This window comes from Homo sapiens, chromosome 1 (genome assembly GCF_000001405.40).
Source record: "Homo sapiens chromosome 1, GRCh38.p14 Primary Assembly".
NCBI lineage: Eukaryota > Metazoa > Chordata > Mammalia > Primates > Hominidae > Homo > Homo sapiens.
Window position 1 is genome coordinate 215,738,545 of NC_000001.11, and position 25,015 is coordinate 215,763,559.

General features: G+C 36.1%; 1 protein-coding gene across 1 annotated transcript in view; it reads right to left on the reverse strand.

Moving 5' to 3' along the window:
• USH2A (usherin) overlaps window positions 1–25,015 on the reverse strand; it is an 800,558-nt gene that overhangs the window by 115,654 nt on the left and 659,889 nt on the right. The window contains exons 57-60 of the mRNA NM_206933.4: window positions 21,116–21,299; window positions 20,051–20,208; window positions 4,633–4,791; window positions 2,831–2,993 (exon numbers count right to left, since the gene is read on the reverse strand). Coding sequence (NP_996816.3) covers window positions 2,831–2,993; window positions 4,633–4,791; window positions 20,051–20,208; window positions 21,116–21,299 — 664 coding nt within the window. The remainder of the gene's footprint in view (window positions 1–2,830; window positions 2,994–4,632; window positions 4,792–20,050; window positions 20,209–21,115; window positions 21,300–25,015) is intronic.

Below are 25,015 nucleotides of genomic sequence, written 5' to 3' on the forward strand. Positions count from 1 at the left end.
TTTGTTTTTGAAGTCATAAACATCTTCTGTCTTTATTAGGTCAGATATTTTTTAATAGGATAATATCTAGAGGAAATATTTAAAAAATAAAGGACAGTTACAGAAAAGAAAATGATTCAGGGTCTTGGTGAGAAGAGAGTGGCAAACAATTTCAAATGAGATTTACAAGTGGGCTTCCTGCAAGTTAATAAAAATATCTGCATAGGCCAAATCCTATCTTTGGTTTGAGCTAAATGTACTTCCTTTGGTGCCGATAGAAGAAAGAGAAGGCCAATGATGAAGCTGAAATTACATGCCATAACCTCCTCAGAAATACTGCAGGCTGGTGGCTATAACTATATAAAGGGCTCTATGTAGTCTCAGAATGAAAAAGAACTATGTGTCTCCATTCTATTTCTGTCCTTACAAATTTCTGATTATTTTTTGCAGCTATCTAAGAAAAATTTGATATTGTTGTTGTCTAAGCACATTTAAACTTCAGTTGAAATAACTGCCAAGTGATTCATGCCTATGTAGGTGAATATAACGATTGTATCTGGAGCCCCAGTGCGCCATTTTCATTTCACTTTAAATAAAAAACAAAATGTATCTATGTCAGTCAGTGCCCTTCTGCTGTACTCAGAGGTATCAAACAGGCTACAATTATGATTGTGAAGTGATTGTGTCACATTGGAGGAAGGTTTATTGCTTTTGAGTCTGCTAGGCAGTAACACATTCTGTTTCATATTACTCTTTATATCATTGTTTGGCTGTGATTAGAATAATCAGATGCCATCAAATGCTGTCAAATTCAATTTACAGTATTTTTCATTGAAGCGGGCTTTCTGCATTATATTTCCTGTTTTCCCTCTCTATAGCTGCCATGGAATAGGCACTGTAATCACGAGCTTTATTTACAAAACCAACAGAGTGAAGCCACGTCCTGGTCTATAACAGATACTCTATTTCCCTTTATTCTGAATAGGAATTTGATGTGCTTTTCTCATGCAATTAGCATTAAGTGGATGAAAGAAAACTATTTCAAGAGGGTGGACATTTTAGAGCCTGCACTAATGTGCTTAGCGTAAAATGGAAATTCACATTAACCATTTTTACGTGTTCATGTGTTTTTGAATCAGAAATATTATTCTTCAAATTAATGTTTGCTGAGAAGAAATTTGGCTTGTTCATTTTTGGTAATGTCATTTACATAACCAGAAATGCAATAATACTTTCTCCTTTCGTAATTTTTTTCTATAAGCCCTTAGCTCATCACTGAAGACTGATGTGAATCAAAGGATTTCAATATCTAAAGTTATAAGAGGAGCCTAAGTAAGTTTCACTAAGTTTCCAGGGCATAGGACCAAATAAGGGAAGGCCTGAGGCTGCTAGAGACACTAACAAAGGATGTTGAAGAGGTGCGGGGTATGAGGATCTGAGAAGAAGGGTGTTCTGCTTTGTACGCTAAAGGAAATACATTGCTTTCAGAATGGGATTGGGTTTTTCAATCTGCAAGTCCTGTATGTCTACCAATGATTGTATTTTCTGTCTTAAGTAGCAAGCCATCAGTTGACAGGTTATTTGCCCCCTTGGCTCTTTGCATTGTACTTTCTACTCACCTCCCCTCACTTTCTCTATTTTTTCTCTTCTTCTCTCCCTCCCTCCATCTCTCCCTCATTCTCTTCCTTTGCCTGCTCCTTCTCCTCCTCATTCATTATTTATTTAAAGAATACATTAATTTAAAGCAATGTTCATGTTGATCTGGTGAAGACTAGATCAGAGAGCAAAATATCCTTCAAACCAAAATGTTCATAGTGTATCTCTCTCTTCCATTATTTTCTCTCTCTCTCTCTCAATCTCTCTTTGTCTCTCTTTTTCCTCAATCTTTCTCTTCCTCTCTTCCCTATTGTCTCTTTTCTTTATTTTAGGTAGGTACACTTAATAAATTCTGCACATGATGGAACAAGTTGCTATAACACCATCTAACCAGTGGAGTGGAGGCTCATTAAAACAGAAGGAAAACTGGAGAGGAGAGCCCCTTTTTCTGCTTATGAAAAGCACCATCTTTGGAGGAGGAGAAAAAACTTTTTAATCTCTACATAATAATTAATGAGAAATATTAGAATTCTTGTCTTGTATCTGGTTTCCTCTCTGGAAAGACTATGTTTTCTTGGTCAGTGAGCTGCTTAAGCAGTGGTCCCCAAACTTTTTGGCACCAGGGACTGGTTTTGTGGAAGACAATTTTTCTACACACTGGGGCAATGCAGTTAGGGTGTACGGTTTCAAGATGAAATTATTCCACCTCAGATCATCAGGCATTAGATTCTGATAAGGAAGGCACAACCTAGATCCCCCACATGCGCAGTTCACAATAGGGTTTGGACTCCTGTGAGTATCTAATGCCACCACTAATCTGACAGGAGGTGAAGCTCCGGTGGTAATGCTTGCTCACCAGCCACTCACCTGCTGTGTGGCCCGGTTCCTAACAGGCCGCGGACTCTGTGGCCTGGGGGTTAGGAACCCCTGCTTTAGAGGACTGTTCTGCCCCATCACTAAATATAAGCCTATGTGGGCTATAAGGTCTCAGTTTTCAAACAGATCTCAATCAAAAATGTTATATGGCAGTTATGGCTTTTTTCCTTGGTTAATTTGTAAAAGTTTGAGCACCAGTCTTAGTCCTCACTGGTAGGTGCTACAAACAAACAAACAAACATACAAAACAAAACAAAAAAAAACACAACATGAATTCCCATTCATTCTCTTATGGAAATATAAAATGCTCTTGATTCTGCTGTGTTGGAGCAGTACGCATTCTTAAATAACTAAAAATAATAGTAACAGCCAATCTTACCTGTAAATAAAGTAGTTGATGATGATTCCATTTGGTTTTTCAGGTGGCATCCACTTAATCTCTATGCAAGCTGACCCCAGTGCCTTAAGAACAGGAGAATTAAGATCCATTGGGGCTGCTTCAGGTGTTTTGACAAACATCCTACTGCTAACTCCACAACTTCCTTGAAAAAAAAAAAATTGAGGTCTTTATTATTTTTCAAGCAAGGAAAAGAACTACATATTCATACAGAAGGGTAATGATATCATGAAAATTATTTTAACCTGTCCTTTTGCATATATACTTGTACATGTGTTTTAAATAAATTTTTATGGGATTTGAACATTTAAATAGAAAATTATTTTTGGAAAACCCATTAATTAGTCACATATTTATATAGACATAAACAATAAGGCATATTGTCTGGAAATAAGGAATAATAAGGAAACTTGTCTGAACTCAAGTTTCTCTAGTTTATTATAGTCATTCTAACCAGAAAGTGATAATGCACTTGAATTTCACAAGTGTATGTGTGACCTACACATCTTGCATGCTTTTAATAATATTTTATTTTGCCAATATTTTAAACTCATGAACATTATTCAAACACACAGGAATAAAACAATCTATTTGAAGGATATTGTACCTCCATTGCACAGTTTCAGGGACACGGAGATGCAGACGTTGACTTTGTACTTGAGTCAAGAAAACATTAATTTAAAATTATTTTCACGTTTATCAGGTGAAGACAGATCAGAGAAAGCAATACCCCTCAAACAAAAATGCCATGGTCTATTTTTTAGAGAAAAAAGGACAAACTGACTAGCCATTTCTGATGAGTTCAGCAGAGCAAAATTGCAGACTCATAATTCTAACCAACTCCATGAGAACTAGCACTATTTGGAAACAGAAATTCCTAAGGACATTCAATACAGGAGTTTCCACTACACATTGAGTCTGATAAATTTCTTTAAGGTGAAGCAAAATGTTTTTTATACTAAGGTAAGTTACATGTTTTCTTTATTTAGCAAATGAGTATTATACGTTATATAACATATATGATGAGATCATATATATCATATGTTATATATGATATACACATATATCATGTTATATATGATATACACATATATAACATATCCATATCTGTTAAAGTTTATACTTAATTTAAAAGAGATAAATAAAATGATGTATAGCTCTCTTGATTCCCTGTTCTCCCCTCCTAAATCACAGTTTACATTTAGCTACTTATCCGTTTGGAGTGATAAAGGAAATGGGGGAGGCTTTTCCTTAACACAACACAGATACATGAAAATTTCACTGACCACAGCCTAAGCCATGAAACACAAGGTGATAGTTTGTATATATGAATAGGGTTCAAGGAAGCACTATAAAATATATAGGATTCATTTGGGTGTAATTCAACTCTTAAATAACTTCTCACTTCCTCCTCCTGGATAAAATTTAAATAAGGCCAAGGTAAATATGTTTTCTATGAAATATTTGGAATACTCATTTTTGTTTTATATTACCAAAGACTCCTTTATGTGAGCTAGGTGTTTTTCTTTCAAAGGGCCTTATAAAACAAGACTTTGCAAAACCACCATTTTAATATATTTAAATATTTATGATTTAATGTGCAGAAATGCATAATGCTTTACTCGATGCCAGACTGTGATTTTTCTGGGTAAACAGTCCACTACAAATAAGAAGTGAAACGTTAGTCTTTATATTTGGACTGAGAATGTATTCCTTTTTAATGAAATTTTTTAATGAAATACTTTTTCATAAAAGCCCAGGCCAAGTGTCTGAAAGACTTTCACCATTTTGACATGCTTGTATCCTTATCTCATACTGTGTGAATGGAGTCAAATTTTCCAGAAGGGTGGATTGATGATGACCAACGGAGAAGGCCAGAGGTGTTACACTTCCATCATTGAGTAAGACATTGTACTCCACAGGAATTTCGGGGATGAGGATCCCTTTAAAGAGAGAGAGAGAGAGAGAACATTAAAAACATATATATATATATATGTGTGTGTGTGTGTGTGTGTGTGTGTGTGTATATATATATAGACACACATATATATATAAATAAATATATATAGACACACATATATATATAAATAAAACAGAATGGGCAACAAATGTTTGTCTTTTAAAAATAATGTCTATTTAAAATTTTGTAATTGAGGCCGGGCGTGGTGGCTCATGCCTGTAATCCCAGCACTTTGGGAGGTTGAGGTGGGCTGATCACAAGGTCAGGAGATGGAGACCATCCTGGCCAACATGGTGAAACCCTGTAAAAATACAGAAATTAGCCGGGCATAGTGGTGTGTGCCTGTAATCCCAGCTACTCGGGAGGCTGAGGCAGGAGAATCGCTTGAACCCGGGAGGCAGAGGTTGCAGTGAGCTGAGATCACGCCACTGCACTCCAGCCTGGGCGACAGAGTGAGACTCCGCCTCCAAAAAAAAAAAAAAAGTTGTAATAGAAAAGTAAATTACTTTTTAATATAGCAATTAAAAGCTTCACAAAAGTTAAGTTGGCAAATATTAGATTGTGTATTCCAAAAGTAAGAAATGTACATAATCTATTTTTAAAAGCATAATATTTCTATTTAAAGATATACTCTATTGGCAAATAAAAATGAAGGCACATTTCACTTAAAACATATAAGGCAATTATGCTGTCCTATATTTTTTCTAGGTTTACTTACTTTTAAAGTTCATAGAAAACAACACCAATTTTGCTTGTGACAATAATTTTTCTGTAGAGCATTGTGTATGCCTCCTGTCTGACATGGATCCTTGACATAGCCCATGAAATATCCAAATCATGGTCTACCTAGAGAATTCCCAGTGCATTAATTATTGGGCCAGGACAGTTCACTGTCAGTGAGACTTATGGCCCTAAATACAGCGAAAATTTGGGTTCAACAATTGTCATTTTTCACCATTCCTTCCTAAAGAAAGTAGGTCTTGTCAGTTTAGCCTCGTCAAAGTCTATTTATATAATTAAATGCTTGTTAAGTTTTATTTGGTCATGAACAACAGGCATACTTTTTCAAGGAGAGGATATGAGTTTTGAATGAAGAATATAATGGCATTTTCTATTACATTGTCTCCTTGATCTGAGAGTTTTTAACATTTATGAGTTTAGTTATTTACTTCTGTAGTACCCACATAAGTCTATCTTTACTTTAGAAACAGTGGAATCTAGAGATAACATTACTGAGGAAGCACAGGACTCAATGACCTAAGAGAGATGAGGTCTAAAGAATGAAATGTGGTTTTGCTTTTTATAGATGTGGCCTCTGTATTTACAGAGTGGAAGAGCTGGTACAAACCAAAGATGCTCAGGATTTTGTGTAGGATAGATGAAAAAGAGGTGTCTGAAGGAGATATTGATCATCTTCAGAAGTACTGATCAATTGCTTCCTCAGGAAAGGTGCTAGATTGCGTTAAATTTGGCAGCTTAGACTGAGAATGTTTATTTTAAATTTAGAGCATCATGGCTAAACTATCTGGTACATTTATTCTAGTAGGTTAAACTACTAACATTCTATCATTGATTCCTAAACTCTTATCTCTAGCTTTCTATCTTTCCGGTATTACAGCTTTGTATTTTCAACAGCCTGCTAGGTATTTCTACATGGATATTCCTCAGAGGCCACGATCTCAACAATTCTAAAACAGAACTAGCTGTATTTTCCACTCCCAAACCTGTTCTTTTTCCTAGGTTTCCTCTTTCAGTAAGTCATAATACCATCTTCCCATTTTCCTAGGATGGAAATCTTAGAGTAAGACTTTTAGAGTGGATCCTGCCTTCTTCACTCCAAAACTCAAGTGACTACTAAATTTTATCAATTAATTCTTTGAGAAATTTGGGCTTCATATATAATCAGCAACAAGGAGACTTTGCAGGTATAAATAAGAAAATAAGAGTCTACCTATATTTTAGAATGATAACACTGTTGGGAAATGAATAGTGGCTTAAAAACATGAGAGACAAGACATAGGGAAACCAGTTTGAAAGTCTTACAATGTTTGCAGAAGTAGTACAAACAAGAGTCATTTCAATGCATCCCTGTGTTATGCCAGGCAACACGCATTATCCCATTTAATACTACTAGAATGTCAACCGTATAAATTAGGACTTTGTTTTCTCCAATGTGGTTCCACTGCCTAGACTTTAGCACAAAGTAGCAGCTCAATAAATGTTAGCTGATTGAATGAATGAACGAACCCTCAAGACAATACTGCATGGTAAATATTACTATTTTTTAAGATGAGAAAACTAAAACTCAGAGAAGTTAAATAACTTGTTCCAGATTGCACACTGATTAATTGGAGAAGCAAGGACTTGAACTTAGGCCCATCTGATATCAACACTTATATCAATATACTTATGCTTTTCCTTGATAATGGAGTCTTAGAGTAGGACAACTTGGGGAAAAATGACAAGATAGGTTTGAGAAAATTTGTGCAGTAAGGCAGAGCCATTCTTGGAGACTATTCCGAAGCAAGGAAACAAATGATGGATAAGTAAAAATCATTACTGATGGAACAAGCATATTATAGGTAGAAATTTAAAGTTCTGCAGACCAAGTATCCCAACCTGAAATACACCTGCTTTGGAGGTTTGTGGGCTCATGTCAAAGTATATTCAAAGACAGGAACAAACATAGTACCGTAGGTCCTCGAATAATGTTGTTTCATTCAACATTGTTTCATTAATATTTATGAGGAAAAAAATTGATTCCCAGCTGGAGCCACTGTCTATGTGAAATTTACACATTCTCCCCATGTCTGCGTGGTTTCTTTATGGGTACTCTGGATTTTTCCCATATCCTAAAGATGTTTCCATTAAATTAATTGGTGTGTCTGAATGGTCCTAGTCTGAGCGAGTGTGGGTGTGTGTGTGTGCCCTGTAACGGAATGGTCTTGAGCTGCCTGGTTAGGCCCTGGCCACCCCAACCCTGAACTGGAAAAGGTGTGTCAGAAAATGAATGAATGAATGAATAATTGTAAAGTAAAGATTCATTAAGTGTGTTACTATCATATAGATGCATAATAATAAATAATGCTGTACAAAAGCCTTCTGTGAGCTTGCCCTACTTGCGATTGTTTTTACTAGTGCATGGTGGTAAGAAGAATTTCTTCTAATTTCTGCTCAAAAACATTTATCCCTATGGCTGTTGTCACTCGCTGACTTGCCAAAACTTAGGTTAAAAATGATCTTACTTGTTTCTATTAATCTTTCTTAAATGTATGTATAGCTCATATTTATTTCAGTTTAATATTAGAAGTGTTTTGGTCTTTCTTTGATGATATTTAGTTTGGTGACGTTTTTGTGACCACAAATATTCCTTGCAACTTAAATCTTGCTTATATCAACTAGCCTAAGGTAAAATTGGTTTCCTTATATATCTTTTGACTCAAAATTGCAGTTTCCAAGAACCTATCATGACCTTAAGGACTTACTGTGCCTTTTTTTGGAGTATCACTTTGATATGGAAAATTTGGGAAACACAGGATTTCCCTGTTTGAGGAAGGGGAACCAGCAGAATCCCCGTTTCTTTGTTCACAAAAATTGGGTGTGAATTTTTCTTTCTAAAAGTTCAAGATTAGAGAATTGTATGTATGGTGAGTGATTAGAATTTTTGCTAGCCAATTGTAGAGTTGAAGACTCTGTAGTCACCACAGAATGAACCAACTGTAGGACACAAGAAAATGTTTATGCTGATGTGCCAGTGTGCTGAACAAGTATAACTGTTCATACTGTAACCAAAGGACAATGTAATGTTAGTCTCTCGCTATTGCTTTAAAGTGAACTCAATGTGGATTTTCTACCCTAGACATGGGATGAAAAGTTGGCCTGACCCATGACACTTCCACTTTGTTTCAGGTAATAAAGAGTTCTATACTATTTTTCTCCATAAAGAAACAGGAAAAGATATCATAACAAAAATTAAATGCCTAAAAAATAACTTTATTTTTCTCTTTACTGGTATGGTGAATACACATAATAGGCCTATTTAAAGGCTATTCTTCGAGGCCTAATTCACCACTCCACGACAAAACTGGCAGTTTTTACTGCTCTCAACAAGACTGCAATAATTAAAATGAAATTTGAGAGCTGGATAAGGAGAATTGATTATAGAGACCATTTGAGACTCAGTTCATTAATGGATGAGAAAAATTTAAGTACTGTGCCAGAGGTAAAATAAAAAGTAATATAATCAGGTTTCTTCTTCCTCTCCGCAAAAAGTATTTTTTGGAGGGTGTTGCTTGAGGTGGTAAGAGAGATTGAAGAAGGAATCGGGGACCCTCTCAGTTTGCAATTTGACCTTCAGCAGGAGGATATGCTGATAGAAATTTCCATCCAGAGTATCCTAGAATGACAAAGCATTCCATATCACATTTTGGGCATTTCTCCCTATTGTTACCCTGCCATAACAGTAAAGCAGTGAGGAATAAAAGGCTGTTGTTTGAAGCCACAGGTTTTTTGTTTTTTTTTGTTTGTTTGTTTGTTTGGTTTTTTTTTTTGAGACGGAGTCTCGCTCTGTCGCCCAGGCCGGACTGCGGACTGCAGTGGCGCAATCTCGGCTCACTGCAAGCTCCGCCTCCCGGGTTCACGCCATTCTCCTGCCTCAGCCTCCCGAGTAGCTGGGACTACAGGCGCCCGCCACCGCGCCCGGCTAATTTTTTGTATTTTTAGTAGAGACGGGGTTTCACCTTGTTAGCCAGGATGGTCTGGATCTCCTGACCTCATGATCCACCCGCCTCGGCCTCCCAAGTTTTGTTTTGTTTTTGAGACGAAGTCTTGCTTTGCCACCAGGCTGGAGTGCAGTGGCATGATCTTGGTTCACTGCAACCTCTGCCTCACGGTGAACCCACATATTTATGACAAAATGAAGAGGGGAAGAATTGCCGGGACCTTGAACCTGTTATTGGGCTTAGTTTTCTTTAGATCTTCCTAATATCATGAAATATAACAGCATTATCACTCTTTAGCCAATGAGATTAGTAGAAAATGTTTTCCCAAATGATAAGTTGTATAATATATTATTTTTTGGATGAAGACAAACACTGGAATACAATGGCAAATTTACATGAATTTTTAAGATAAAAAGCAAGACCTTAAAGAAACTGCAAGCTAATGATGATTGCTTCAGGCTCTGTTTTCAGACCTCCTGGGATTGCATATTCATCCTGTCTTCTTTGTTCCTAGGACAGTTCTTGCAGAAAAGTTTGACAGACACACATTCATAAGAAACATGCCATCATTCTTGTTGAACTAGACAAACCACAGAGTGGTGTCAGATAGATCAAATCCTTCTGCTGCCCTTATTTCCCAAGCGACCACTGGCAAATTAACTAACCTCTATGGATGTTGTCTCTTCATGTGTAAAATGATGATACTAATAGCTACCTCATAGAGAGTTGTGAGGATTAAATTAGAAAATATCTGTAAGCCTTTCAATATATTCCCATAACATAGAAAGTACTTAATAAATGGCTGACATCTCTACAAGACAAAATGGAACAAAATGAAATAAAGAACAAAAAACAACTATGGCACTGTTTCCATGTGCCCTCAAACACTTTTGAATCCATCTTTCATATAAAGTTGCTATTCCAACTACAAATAAATGTTACATTCATTCAAGTTAATGTCTTTGTAACACTATTTTGTTATCTAGTTTTATTTTTTATGTGTACTTGGATATGATCAAATTGCATTCCTACGAAAATACTGTATTATTCATTGTTAGCAGTAATTTGGAGTGGCGTTCCCTCCAATTCATCTGAGGTTGTTTTACTTTATGTCTTCAGTCTGTACCTACTGTTCTGCTTCCAGGCCTTGCATCCTTCAAGAAGTAACTTCTGTTATAAAAAGGACAGGACTCCCAGAGGATGAAGGAACAAAACTGTGCTTCTACCGCATGTCAAATATAAACATAATCTTAATCCAGATTTAAACATGGCTAGCCAAACCATGAGCATAGAAAATGTATTTTTCACCTCTTCATTAATTGGAAATAAATGTCCTTTACATATACCTATGAGGTGCTGAAACAGAAAATGCTCCTCTAAGCTGTGAACACGTAAAACACTGGCATGCATTTAGGAAAGTGGGCCCCCTCCACTATCATAATTTCCAGGACTGTGACACGAAAGTCTCTGGTGTTCCTACAAACCCTATACCATCTGCAATGAGTCTGAAATGACTGAGCCCCCTGGTATTCTGATGACTAAATGAAATGAAATGGGCATATTTGTTAAAGTCAGCTGGGAAGCCACACGACTTGGTTAGTTCCTGAGTTCATAAATTTATGTCAGAGCAAGAGGAGCAGTGGAAGCTCAAGTGAACCAATTTACCCTAAGTGCAAATGGCAGTTTTGTTATTTGGTGTCAAAGTTACCAGTCGCACAATGACAAGCTGCCATAACACATTTTCTTGTTCACTAAAGAACAAGGATTTCGTTGGTTAATATTCCTTGCAATGCTCCTTTTCATAATTTACAACAACTAGATGCTGATAGGTTATTTAACATTTATGAAGTTAAGATGTAATCAGAAAAACCCTGATTATCTTTACAAATAAAAAAGTTAAATTATTCAACTATTTTTCTCCATGGCTTCATTTCACAGCAGGTGCATACTTTACAATGGGACAAGTCAATCAATAATCCTTTTTAAGTCTTTTTTTAGGAGCTGGAACAGGAAAAATTCTAAGAGGAAAAACTATTAATTCGGTTTGATAGAGGCATTTGTTTCAAAACACTTGGTTGCACTTAACATGGTGCTTTTAACAAATCGAGCTAAATTCTCCACTGTATAGGTAGGGAAACCTTGATTAGGCCTTTTTGGGGGAACAGAAGTAAAACGGGACCCTCTTGAACTCATTCATACCAATTGTATGGAAATTTAACATTGGTTGTATAATAGTTATCATTTATGTCTTTTCTACCTTACTAGATGGTAGGGTTCCTGACAAGAGGGACAGTGTCTCATTCCTCTTTGTAACTTTTAGGGTGTCCAGCATCATGTTTTGCCCCTGAGTGGGGCTCAGAAATAATTTCCACGTTAGTTAAATGACTAGAGGAATCAATATACCCAAAGGCAAATGAATTACATCTCATGAAGTTTTGAGCCACAAATAAAATTATTCTATTGGGTTACTGGGTCGACTGATCCTGAATTACATTGTCCTCATTCATACTTCCTATATATAAAGCAAAAATCAGTTTTTTAGCTTTTAAATGGGATTACAGTAGAACTCATGAAAAATCATTTGCTTTCCGCACGTTTAGGTGGAAAAATATTGAGAAAATATAGAATAGTAGTTTTGAGTCAGACTTGGACTCACACCCATGAGGGTCAGCCCTGCTCTGACACCTGCTTGAAGAATAACCTAGAGAAAATAGCTTGGAGTGTCTAAATTGACCTTTTTCATTAGTAAAATGAGCAAAACAATAGGACATACTATATTAAGTTATTATGAACACTAAATGAGATATATGTTAATCTCTTAGCAAAATGCCTAGCATATATTAAAGCTCAGTAATGAAAGATACATTTTAAAATATCCAAAATAAAATACAAACCACTGAAGTGAGTTTCACATTTTCTTCTGAAACTCACCACTCCTTGTCATTTGGTTATTGCATTTATAAGTTAAGAAAAGTGAAACAACTGTCAATGTTGAATCATCCCAATTAATGTAATGTGAATCCTTTAGAAAGATTAATGTAAATTTTGACTTTAAATGCATAGTATCTGAAATAATACACTGCAGCTGATGAGTTAACTGAATGCCAAGATGTCTAATGTCCATAAATAGACCATATTATGGCCAGCTAACCTTTAATCAAAATGATAAATAAAAAAATTTGTATTTCTAGAGCAATATTAATAAAAATTATTTATCAGTAGAATTCTTGCTAATTCCTTCTTTAATGGAGTAAGATATTAATGTTAAAGGAAAAGCACCAGTATTTCTATATTGTACGTTAAACCTAAATGACTCACCATCCTTAGTGAGAAAAAGTATGTGTTAAATGCAATGGCATTGTTAATTAGAACATGATTAAGGGCTAGAACAGTTCAAAATATAGTCATCATCTCGATAAATTAGAAAGACTCATTATTACCTTCAGAGTTTAAATAATTTTGAATGTTTAGATTCTTAAACAGCAGGGATATCTATCTCCATTGTCATTCTGAGTAAACCACTTATGTTCCATGAAGCATTTGCTATTTAATTTTCCATAATTTTTCACCTATTAAGGTAACATATATCCTTTGCTCTCTTTAATATAAATGTTCTCTTTAATATGAATACAAAAGTCCTGACCCAATGTTGAGAGCTGGTAAAAGGTGAGAGGGAATGCTTAGGAATAATCTAAGGTTGTTTACATTACCTAAAGGTTCAAACAATAATGGAGTTTTACCATGCCATCTCATTTACTTCATATAACAATATAAGGTAGGCATTTAATTTCTCCTTGTACAGATGAGAAACCTGAATTTGAGAAACATTGTGCAGCTTGCCCAAGGCCAGAGGACAACTAAATAGTGAAGCCCATTCCATGTTAGAAAACAATACCACCTTTTCTGAAAGGTGAAAAAATTGCACATCCATAAGACAAGATGCAGTCTTTGGAAAATATGTGTATGTGCTCTGTTTGTCATTAAAGAAGAAATGTCTCTCTCTCTCTGTCTCTCTGCCTCTCTCTCTCTTTGTGTGTATGTCTCTGTTTAAGATTAAGTTAATGTAGACGAAGGATGACTTTAAGAGAAAATCAAATGTTTGAGTAATTTTAAATGGCAGGATATCCACAATTTACATTTGACTGCATAATAAATTGTGGAGGCTCGCTCACCATTGTGTTCCTCCATTAATTCAGCAAAATTTTTATAAGGATATGTTGTTTGTATGTCACCTGATTTAGAGGTTCAAATGATACACAAAAGGCTAGAGATCTTGATTTTCTAGAGCTTAGAGTGTTTTGGTAATGTTACTACTGACATTTATCAAGAAAGAATAAGGTAAAGTGGATGAAGGTTTACATGGGAGACAGGGGAATATTTACCAAGGCTTTAAAATAGAATTTGGATGATCTCTTTACAGCAATTTGAGAAGTGACTCTCCTCCCCTCCCACCTAACTAAAATCTTCCTACACCTGGAATCTGGTTTTAAGTCACGTCTATTCCTTCTAGAATGTGTAGGTAAAGCTTTCTGGTTACTACTTCCTTCACGCTGCAAAAAGTCATTGTTGCAATGTGGATATTTTCCCTTCAGGGGCTCACCACTTCCACAAATAATTCTTCTGGTTTTGATGCCCCCAGTAAAATATTATTCTCCCATTGCTTTTGGTGTTTTAGACATGAAGTCCTTGCCCATACCTATGTCCTGAATGGTATTGCCTAGGTAAAATTGACAAATGGGATCTAATTAAACTAAAGAGCTTCTGCACTGCAAAAGAAACTACCATCAGAGTGAACAGGCAACCTACAGAATGGAAGAAAATTTTTGCATTCTACTCATCTGACAAAGGGCTAATATCTAGAATCTACAATGAACTCAAACAAATTTACAAGAAAAAAACAAACAGCCCCATCAAAAAGTGGGAGAAGGATATGAACAGACACTTCTCAAAAGAAGACATTTATGCAGCCAAAAGACACATGAAAAAATGCTCACCATCACTGGCCATCAGAGAAATGCAAGTCAAAACCACAATGAGATACCATCTCACACCAGTTAGAATGGCAATCATTAAAAAGTCAGGAAACAACAGGTGCTGGAGAGGATGTGGAGAAATAGGAACACTTTTACACTGTTGGTGGGACTGTAAACTAGTTCAACCATTGTGGAAGTCAGTGTGGCGATTCCTCAGGGATCTTGAACTAGAAATACCATTTGACCCAGCCATCCCATTACTGGGTATATACCCAAAGGATTATAAATCATGCTGCTATAAAGACACACGCACATGTATGTTTATTGCGGCACTATTCACAATAGCAAAGACTTGGAACCAACCCAAATGTCCAACAATGATAGACAGGATTAAGAAAATGTGGCACATATACACCATGGAATACTATGCAGCCATAAAAAATGATGAGTTCATGTCCTTTGTGGGGACACAGATGAAGGTGGAAACCATCATTCTCGGCAAACTATCACAAGGACAAAAAACCAAACACCACATGTTCTCACTCATAGGTGGGAATTGAACAATGAGAACACATGGACACAGGAAGGGGAACATCACATACCGGGGCCTGTTGTGGGGTTGGGGGAGAGGGGAGGGATAGCATTAGGAGATATACCTAATGTTAAATGACGAGTTAATGGGTGCAGCACACCAACATGGCACATGTATACATATGTAACAAACCTGCACGTTGTGCACATGTACCCTAAAACTTAAAGTATAATAAAAGAAAAAAAATTAAAAAAAAATATTCTCCCAGAATCATTTGGTTTTCACCAACACCCAGCTCTGTTTCTTGGCCCTCTGGGCTACTATTTCAAACATCATAGTTGATCCATCATAAATCTGAGAGACTTTGGTCAAGAAATGAAAAGTCGATTTGGATTTAAGGGTTAAGCCAAAGACAGAAAGGAACTGGTCTTAAAAGGCAGTAGCAGACAGTAGACCTGAATTTGAATCCTGGCTCTGCAGTGTGACCTTGAGCATATTATATTACTTTTTTGAGATTCGAATTTCTTATCTTAAGATGGGGATAATGATATTATTACCTGTCTTCTAGCGTTTGCATAAAAATTAACTGAGGTAAGGCAGAGAAGGAGCTTATCAGTGTTTGGCATATAGTAGGAATTTAACAAATGGCAAATACACCAAGTAATATGAACGTATGTACACGACATTTGTTATCAGTATCACGGGTACTCTTCCCCTGGGTATTGTCACTATTCCCTAGACCTTACCCTTTCACTAGTAGGACTTATAAACATGTACTAAGGCTTAGTTTATTTATAGCATTAGAACAATAGTTTGAAAACTGAAAATTCAGTTAATTGCTTAGGTAATTTTTCAGTTGCCAAGTAACCACATAGACATTTTTTTTCCCAGCAGCTTACCTGTCTAAGGTTACTCTGTTCACACTGACCACAAAAAAAAAAATGCATATTTAAAAAAACAAATACAATTTAGCCAGTATTTTGGCTTTAGACCATGAGTGTCCAATCTTTTGGCTTCCCTGGGCCACAATGAAAGAAGATTAATTGTCTTGGGCCACATATAAAACACACTAACACTAACAATAGCTGATGAGCTAAAACAAATAATTGCAAAGATCCCAAGAAAGTTTTTGAATTTATGTTGGGTGGCATTCAAAGCCATCCTGGGCTTTAGGTTGGATAAGCTTGCTTTAGACATTCAAGAGAAACTGGCGGACTCATGTTTTCAGAGAAAACAGTTATTGTAATTCACCAGTCTCACTTGGTGAGTGTGATCCATGTTTTTGGTAAATCACATCTATTCCTTTTAGATTTTTGGATGGGTAGGTAAAGCTTTCTAGTTACTAGTTTCTTCATGCTGCAGAGATCATTGCTGTCACGTGGCTGTTTTCCCTTCAGCGGCTTGCCATTTTCCACAATTAACTCTTCTAGTCTTGGCACGCCACTACACACCCAGTCAAACATTGTTCTCCCAGAATCATTTGGTTTCAGCAATACCTAGATCTGTTCCTTGGTCCTCTGGGCTACTATTTCAAAAACACTTGGTAGCACATCAAAGTCATATGTGGAGTTTTTAAAAAGCTCTAGATTTCTTGACTCCATCCCAGGAGATTCTTATTCAGTAAATTTGGGGTTGAGAATCTGTCTTTACACAAGCTTCCTAGGTGATTCTAATGCTCATTCAGGTTTGGGAACTGCAGGCATGGACTGTTTTGCCCATTATTCAGCTCTGTCTGTGATGTAGTCATTTTGTAATGGCAGGGAGTATGATGAATACCTAGAAAACTCTTTATATTGTGAGCAAATAAACAATCTCCACTTACAAATTTATTTTCTTTCTGTTTAAAATATATATATTTGTGACTATTCAGGAATAGAAACATGTTTTTATTATCCAAATCAAAACACAGCATGAGGTACTTTCCAATAAAATCAACTGTAGATTATACACAAGTCAAAATCATCTGACTGTTTACTGAGTTTGAAATCCTTCTAGACACCAGGAAAAAGATTTAATTGAAGATTTTAATCTTTCCTTATATTATATGGTTTCTGAAATGGATTCTGTGCATCTTAAACTATAAGATTGACAGGTCTGAATATTATAGATTTATTAACCATTGGTTAAATGGTCAGAGTTAGTGTGTAAAGCATTCTACAATATCCCCTAGGCTGGACCAGAATGAACAATTTATACAAAGCCTGAGGTATGTGAGAGTTAAGGTCATATTAAACAAGTGAAAGTTGTGTTTTATTCCACAATGATACATTTCTAAATGGAAACATGATACATTAAACATTTAAGTGTGATATTGAATTCAAAGAAAAAAATGACACGCTGGGAAATTTGAAAGAGGTCTTGAAAATTTACTAATCCAATCCTCAGTAGGTGGTTTTATTATTTTGAAAATTGGGGCTTTGAGACCCAGCAAATGTTGGAACAAATACGTTTTAAAAATGAGCAATTAAAGATAAAAAAATAATTCTTCAAACAATCACCATTGGTATCTATAGAATATTATATAGAACTAGATAATATATTTATCATATAAATTACTTCATTTGATCTTTACAGCAACCCTACCTGCCTACATGTAGGTATCATCATTATCTCCACTTCACAGATGGAGAAAATTGAGGCCTAGAGACCGTTTAAGTTCAGCTAATAGGTGGCAGTATTGGGATATGAATCCAGGCTTTTTCATTTCTCTTACTTGCATAGTCATAAAATAAAGATATTTTCAAATTCGTACTGAACATGAAGTCTTCAGATTAGCAATGGCAACTGATATGTTAAATAATGTTAAAATAACAGATATTTTGATAAACCATGGGACTTCCCAGTCATATGGCAAAGAAATCATCAACCTTGCTCATCACCCTGAAATTTCCCGTATTGCTCTTGGAGAATTTGGATTGTAGAAGACCCTGGTCTAAATCTAAAACTTTCTTGTCAATAGGCTAAATATGGTATTAGATTGGCTCTATCCAGCTTCATTTTATTTTGTGGTGCAAAAACACAACAGCACAATAAAAATGCCAAGGAGAAATATACTAAAAAATCGTGGCCAGGTGCAGTGGCTCATGCCCGTAATCCCAGCACTTTGGGAGGCCAAGGTGGGCGGATCATGAAGTCAGGAGTTCGAGACGAGCCTGGCCAGCATGGTGAAGCCCCATTTCTACTAAAAATACAAAAATTAGCCAGGCATGGTGGTGTGTGCCTGTAGTCCCAGCTACTTTGGAGGCTGAGGCTTGAACCTGGGAGGCGGAGGTTGCTGTGAGCTGAGATTGCACCACTGCACTCCAGCCTGGGTGACAGAGAGAGAGACCCGGTCTCAAAATAAACAAACAAACAAACAAACAAATAAATAAATAAATAAATAAATAAAATTAAACAAAAGTAGAAATAAATTCTGTAAAGGGGGCTGTAAATTTATATATTTCCCACAGCAGAAGATATGTCTTTTCCTCTATCGAAATTAAGAACAGAGTTCAAGAATATCTATGCTCTTACAACATAAAGATTATAGCACTTTGTGATGCATTCTGCCACTACTAATTATTCCTTTATATTTTGTTTAATATGCTGCACATTTATTTTAAACAAAAGTGGGTGAAATCATGTACATTTAATATCTTAGAGCAACTTATATTTTTCTTTGCTTATAAAGCTCTTTGTAAACTTTCTTTTGAATTTTAGGGGAAAATAACTTTTTCTCTTTGATCTTAGATTATAGCAGAAGGTGTTGGTCTATAAGAAACTTAAGTTTTATGTATTAGGTCTTTACGCTCTCTTTATAGCTATACAATAGTACCTGTTTTGACTGTTCAATTCAATAAAAATAGGCTTATGTTAATTATGTTATGGAATGGATCTACCGATGGCTCAAATGGCTGTTAACCATTTGGTGCCACTTTGAACTGTGGCTAAACTTATTCTGATGGCGACAAAAAGGGCGTGTCACAATTTCATCTTAAGACTAGATATTAAAAATAAAGTCACATAATTTTGAAGTGTTTTTAACATCTTAACCATTTTTAAATTTTACTTGGAAAGAAAAGTCCTCCATATGTCCTTTCTCACTCTACTCTTTACTCCACAGTATTAATGCAGTCAGGATTTTACCTGAGGATGGTGCTTACCTCAAAATATAATGTTGCACTAAGTCACAAGGCAACCCAATAATGACTAAATGGCTCAATGAAGGCTATTCAGCTTACAGAGGAAAAATGCAGCTACCATAAGTGGTCACAACCCAAGGTACATGGGTGAAGTGAACAACTGTCTTTCCAAACTCCCCATTCACTGATTTAATATAAAAGGAATGGTATAATGTCAATGATCCAATCTAAGGAGTCCCATGGAAATGAATGTTCAAGGTAATTCTGACCTATATGACTTGCATTGGATATATAGAAGAGTAAGCCGGGCGTGGTGGCTCATGCCTGTAATCCCAGCACTTTGGGAGGCTGAGGCGGGTGAATTACCTGAGGTCTGGAGTTCGAGACCAGCCTGACCAACATGGAGAAACACTGTCTCTACTAAAAACAATACAAAATTAGCCGGGCATGGTGGCATATGCTTGTAATCCCAGCTACTCAGGAGCCTGAGGCAGGAGATTTGTTTGAACCCAGGAGTCGGAGGTTGTGGTGAGCTGAGATTGCGCCATTGCACCCCAGCCTGGGCAACAAGAGTGAAACTCCGTCTCAAAAAAAAAAAAAAAATAGATGAGTAAAAAGATTTTTAGTCTCTTGTACTTGAAAGTGTTGCTTTCATAGAAAGCTGTATATACTTACATATCTACATCGACATCTAGATACCTATATCTCTACGTATGTATGTATGTACTCATGCGTCTATACACTTAGAAGTGTGGTTTAGATTTTTCTGTTCATATTTATCCAGGAGACCGACTATGTCTTTCTGATTTACTAAATTAACAGTTCTATTCTTATCTCTAATTAATTCCTTTAAAATGTTTACACACACACACACATACTTCTTTTTTTTTTTTACCTGGTGGTATCCAAGCTACAAATATAGAATAAGGCCCAATTACTGTGATATTATATGGAGGATAGATTTCTTCTGGTGTTGACATAGGTGTTTGAACAATGTAATCATCACTAGCACTGCTGCCACCTCCAGTTTTGACTTCTAACTTGTAAGTGTATCTATATTTAAAAAGAAAGAAGAATTGTGGTAAGGCCATGCACAAGAGACTTGAACAATGATTACTAGTTTTTGTATCAATTGCTTAGTCCTAAATTTGTGACAAATTGCAAACTCTTTGCCCCCTTTCCAGAAACTTGACTTGGTAGTTTTTCTTGCACAGGCAACATTGTCTCCAAGCCATTGTAATTTCAGCTGCTCTTAAATTTATTTTTAACCTGCTAGTAATTCATAGCTTTTCTTGAAGATTTCAGGAAAGTCTTGGAGTGTGCTGGTGGATTGTGGAGGATTCAAATTAATCTTCCCCATTTTTAAATAGGTTGGAGTTCAGGGAAATATGTTTAGAGAAAGATGTTTTTAAATTGATCTGCTATTCCTTACAATAAAATGAAATTGATCTCTACTTTCTACAGTAAAACATCTGTTGATTTAAGATATGTTTTTGTCTCTGCTGAGAAATGAATGGGAATGAAATGCAAATATGTGGAACTTTTTCCTCTAAAACTATTCACAACTATATGTGGTGTAGCAAGTAGAGAAACACTGTACAAGAAGAAAAGAGAGTTGACGGAAAACAAAACTCTTTACATCTCTTTTATTGCTAGTTCAAGGATGCGTGTTTTTGAAGATAATTTGGTAATTTTTAAAGTTTAATACTTCATGTATTTTGTATATTTAAAAATTCTCATGCTTTTATGTCAAACAGAAGACGAATTATTTATATTTTTAAGAAATTTCGTGAAGTCTAAAGACTGAATGATTTAGCACTTTCATCAGTTATTGAATGGCCAATGAATGAGGAAGTTAATTAAACAATTTAACAACTTTCAGTGGGACATGCATTTCTTATCAACCCAGAGAAATGTACAAATCCTGCTGTATGATTGGTAAAGTTTTCTTTTAGTTTACCTGCTATTGGGCTCCAGGTTTTTATCAGTGAAATTCTGCTCCTCACTGCCACCCAGGAAAAGCAAGTTTCCATTACGACTCAATTGATATTGAGAAACGAGGCCATTGGGCTTTTCTGGCAGACTCCAATATAATTCCACTGTTGTAGAATTGATGATAATGTGTCGAGGTGTCACCCAAACTCCTGGCAAGAATAACGCAATGAGGTTTTATTGTTAGGAGAAAATAAACAGTGTATCAAAAGTCACACCATCCCCCCCATGAACTGTGATATTTTTTCTGTTGATTTTAAAAAATATCTAACTGTATGGAACAAAAATACATAATTGGTGTAAATATATTTTTATTACTTTGATTATTTTATTTTTGAATTGCCTTTGGAAAGTGAATGTCAGACAACTAGCAGTGGATAATTTCTCTGCCTTGGTTGTCACTCTGAGAGTATTTTAAATCAAGGCCTGAGAGATCATCTGGGGATTTCAAACTTTTTAATACAATTTACCTGGAATATGTGAAAGTAAGCATAATCGAGTATGTACCTGAATTATACAATTCAACAAATGAGTGCACTTTCCCTTCTTCTTGCACATCAGTGTGATGCTTCTCTTTTCCTCTCTGGCTATGCCTCTGGCCTCATTTACTGGGATCTCTTCCCCTCCTGGACCTTGAAAGGATGTAATGCCTCAGAGCAGTATGCTCTGTTCTCTCTCTCCCCTCTGCTTTTCTCTCTTCCTTTCTCTTCTTCTTTTTCTCTCTTCTCTTCTCTTCCAACACCGGCTTCCCAGGTGATCTTCATTCAGTATGGGTTTTAAATATGCATATGCTGAAGACCCCCAAAGGCATATCTCTAGATTGAAACTCTGAGTGTGAGACTCAAGAATCCAACTGTTTGCTTGACACCTCCATTTGGATGACTGATGATATATCAAAAACTAAAAACATGCAAAACAGAACTCTTGTTTTTCCTGTCTACAATCTATGTACCTCCCAATCTTGTCCATCTATCCATTTTCTTGGACAAAACACACAAAAATAATGATCCCTGAGACTTTCACCTTTCATACGCCCAAATGTAATCTAACATAAAGCCCAGAAGATTCTATAATGTATACTTTCCTGTATCTTTACTTTCACTTCTCCTGGTCCAAGCCACGTTTCTCTCTCTCATAAACTCCTGTCATAGCTTCTAAACTTGCCTCCATGTCGAAATCTTGGCCTTCCATATTCCATTGGAATCTTTGTAAAAGTGTATAAAGTGAATATGTAAGCCAGTGTCATCTTTATGAACCATATAACCCTTTTGAATTTATTCATATAATATAATCCCAATTTCTTTTTGTGACCCATATGGTCCCACATTTTATTGGCTCTGGCCTAAGTGGCAGCATTCTTTGCACCATTCACAGAGCTGTGGCCATACCAGATTCCTTTCTATCCCTAGAATGCTTCTAGTTATTTCCTACACCTGGGCTTTTGAACTTCGGTTCCTTTGGCCTGGAACACCTTTGTTCCCTTACAGCATGACATTTTTGCATTTTGTTCTCATATGTAGAATTGTTCTTATATGTAGAATGTTCTCATATGTTCTCATAGTTCAGTTACTTGTGTAACTATCACCTTATTGATAAGGCCTCATTTTAGCACTCTCTTAACTCTAACTTGAACCCCATCTAATGGAGTCCCAACCTAGTTTCTCTGTATCGCATGGCCTTTTCTATTTCCTTCTTAACACTCAAGACATCATAATCAAATTCTTTCTTTGACATACTATTATTTTTACATTATATGATGGTGCAGTCCTCTCCTTTCTCTTACTTTGATGCAAAGTTAGTTCCATGGTAGCAGGGATCTTCTCTGTCTTATTCGTCAATGTATCTCTATGGATAACACAATGCCTAATACATGTTTAATGAGTAGATTTATTGTAAATATATCTCCTGCAAAATGTTATGCTAAGCACTGCAGGCAGTTCTAGGGAATGCAAAGATGACTAAGATGTGGCTCACTTTCAAGGAGTTTATACTTCTGTCTAAAAAATAAAATATACACACAAACAACTGTAATTCAATGTCAAACATTCAAGTACTCTTATAGATGTACAAATCCATCGATGGAGAAGCCAGCAGTGAGAAAGTTCAGTCCTACCACTTTATGTTGTCATCTAGTTATACTCTGATTAGACACTGTAAATCTCTTCTGGAGATTAAAAAAAACTCATTTCAATATTAGGTTCCCTGTAATCAATAGCTTTTGCTTGATTGTATCTCCTGTGTAAGTTACTCCGTACAGGTTAAGATTTTGACACTTTTAGAAGAAAAATTTTCAGAAGAACAAAATGCAATTTATTTAGCAGCATCCTGAAAGAAACAAGATAGATTTCAAAAATGTCTCAAACATCCCAACTTTCTAAGGAGCAATATATTCCTGAGAAGAAAGTAGTTCATTTTGTTCTGAGAGTCTGCTCTGTTCTAGATATTTGGTAAAATTCACAAATCATAGTACACATTTGTATGTGGGTTTCTCTGCCAACAGCTGCTAGATGATTCAACCAATCAGAGTTTTGATTTAAATGTGATATTAATTTGTTGATTCAAAAGATAAAGTATAAAATCTTAATTCATAATCTGCTTCCTGCAGTTATATCTTTTTCACCTTGAACGATGTATTAAAAATCACCAAGGTACTAGAATGGCTATTGCTTGGTTTCTGATTTGAACCAGTCAATAAAGCCTGTGGATGTGGAGGAGCTAATAAAATAAAATGAAACATAATTTTGGGTTTGTTTCAACCTTTAGGTAAAAGTTGAGTTTATTATTTATACCGGCTGGCAAAAGCTCTTTTCAAGTTGGTAATAACTCCATGCCCATTGGTTTGATTGATAATATGGAGTTCAAATGTATATATAACTAGAAAGTGCTGCATTTTTACTTGGATGGTGATATGGGGACATCGTTATCTTGGCAGCTGCAAGAAATCTTTGCTAGAGTAAGACAATCTTTGGTGAGATATATTAATGAGTCCGAGGTGGGGAATTTGTCCCCTTCACCATGTAACTCTGGCCTAAGTCTCAGGTGAAACCAGAAAAACCTATTCTATATAATAAGGGAGCAAACTGAGGCAGTTCAAGTGAAAGAAATGAATAGTAGGGAGGGAAGTAACCTAGGAGGATGGGGTGGGGTAAACTAGCTGCAAGGTTAAAAGGGGAAAGGTAGAATTAAACCTTGGTGGGCCTTTTTACACAGTGACAACAAGTAGAACATGTCTACTGTATTTGTTTTAAATTTATCTTGAGTTGCATGCCATATTACCCACTTCTCATGTCCCTACAAATCTTCATTCCAATTCAAAATTCCCAGCATTTATTGTGGATTGTTTTTCTCCTGAAATCTGGTGATAGGAACAAATTTTGTATTAGCTGATGTCAGGGATGCACTGAATTCTGGACAATTTAGTATTTGTTAATTTATTCACTCAACATTCTACCCGACTTTGTGTCATTTTCTGTGTTGGGCACTGTGGATGGGAAGATAAAGACTTTTTCTTATCCTTCATGGAGTTCATGTATCATGGTGAATAAAGATGAGTCGATAAAAAGTTGTACTCCAGTATGATACATGCTTTAAGAGAAGGAGGCACAGTAGCTGTTAGAACACTTAGAAAGGGTAACCTGACACAGACTGTGGGGAGAAGTGGAGATGGGTAGGAAGTAGGTGGTTGTAGTGGAAGATTTCCAGAAGGGGAGATGCGTGAACCAAGTTTTGAAAAGGTGAGCGTTAACTGAGTGAGGATGTAGGGAAAGGGAGTTCAGGCTGAGGGGAACCCACATAAAGTCGTAGAAATGTGGGCAAGGATGGCAGGACTGCACATACCTTGGCATGGCTGGTGCACTGCATGGCATGT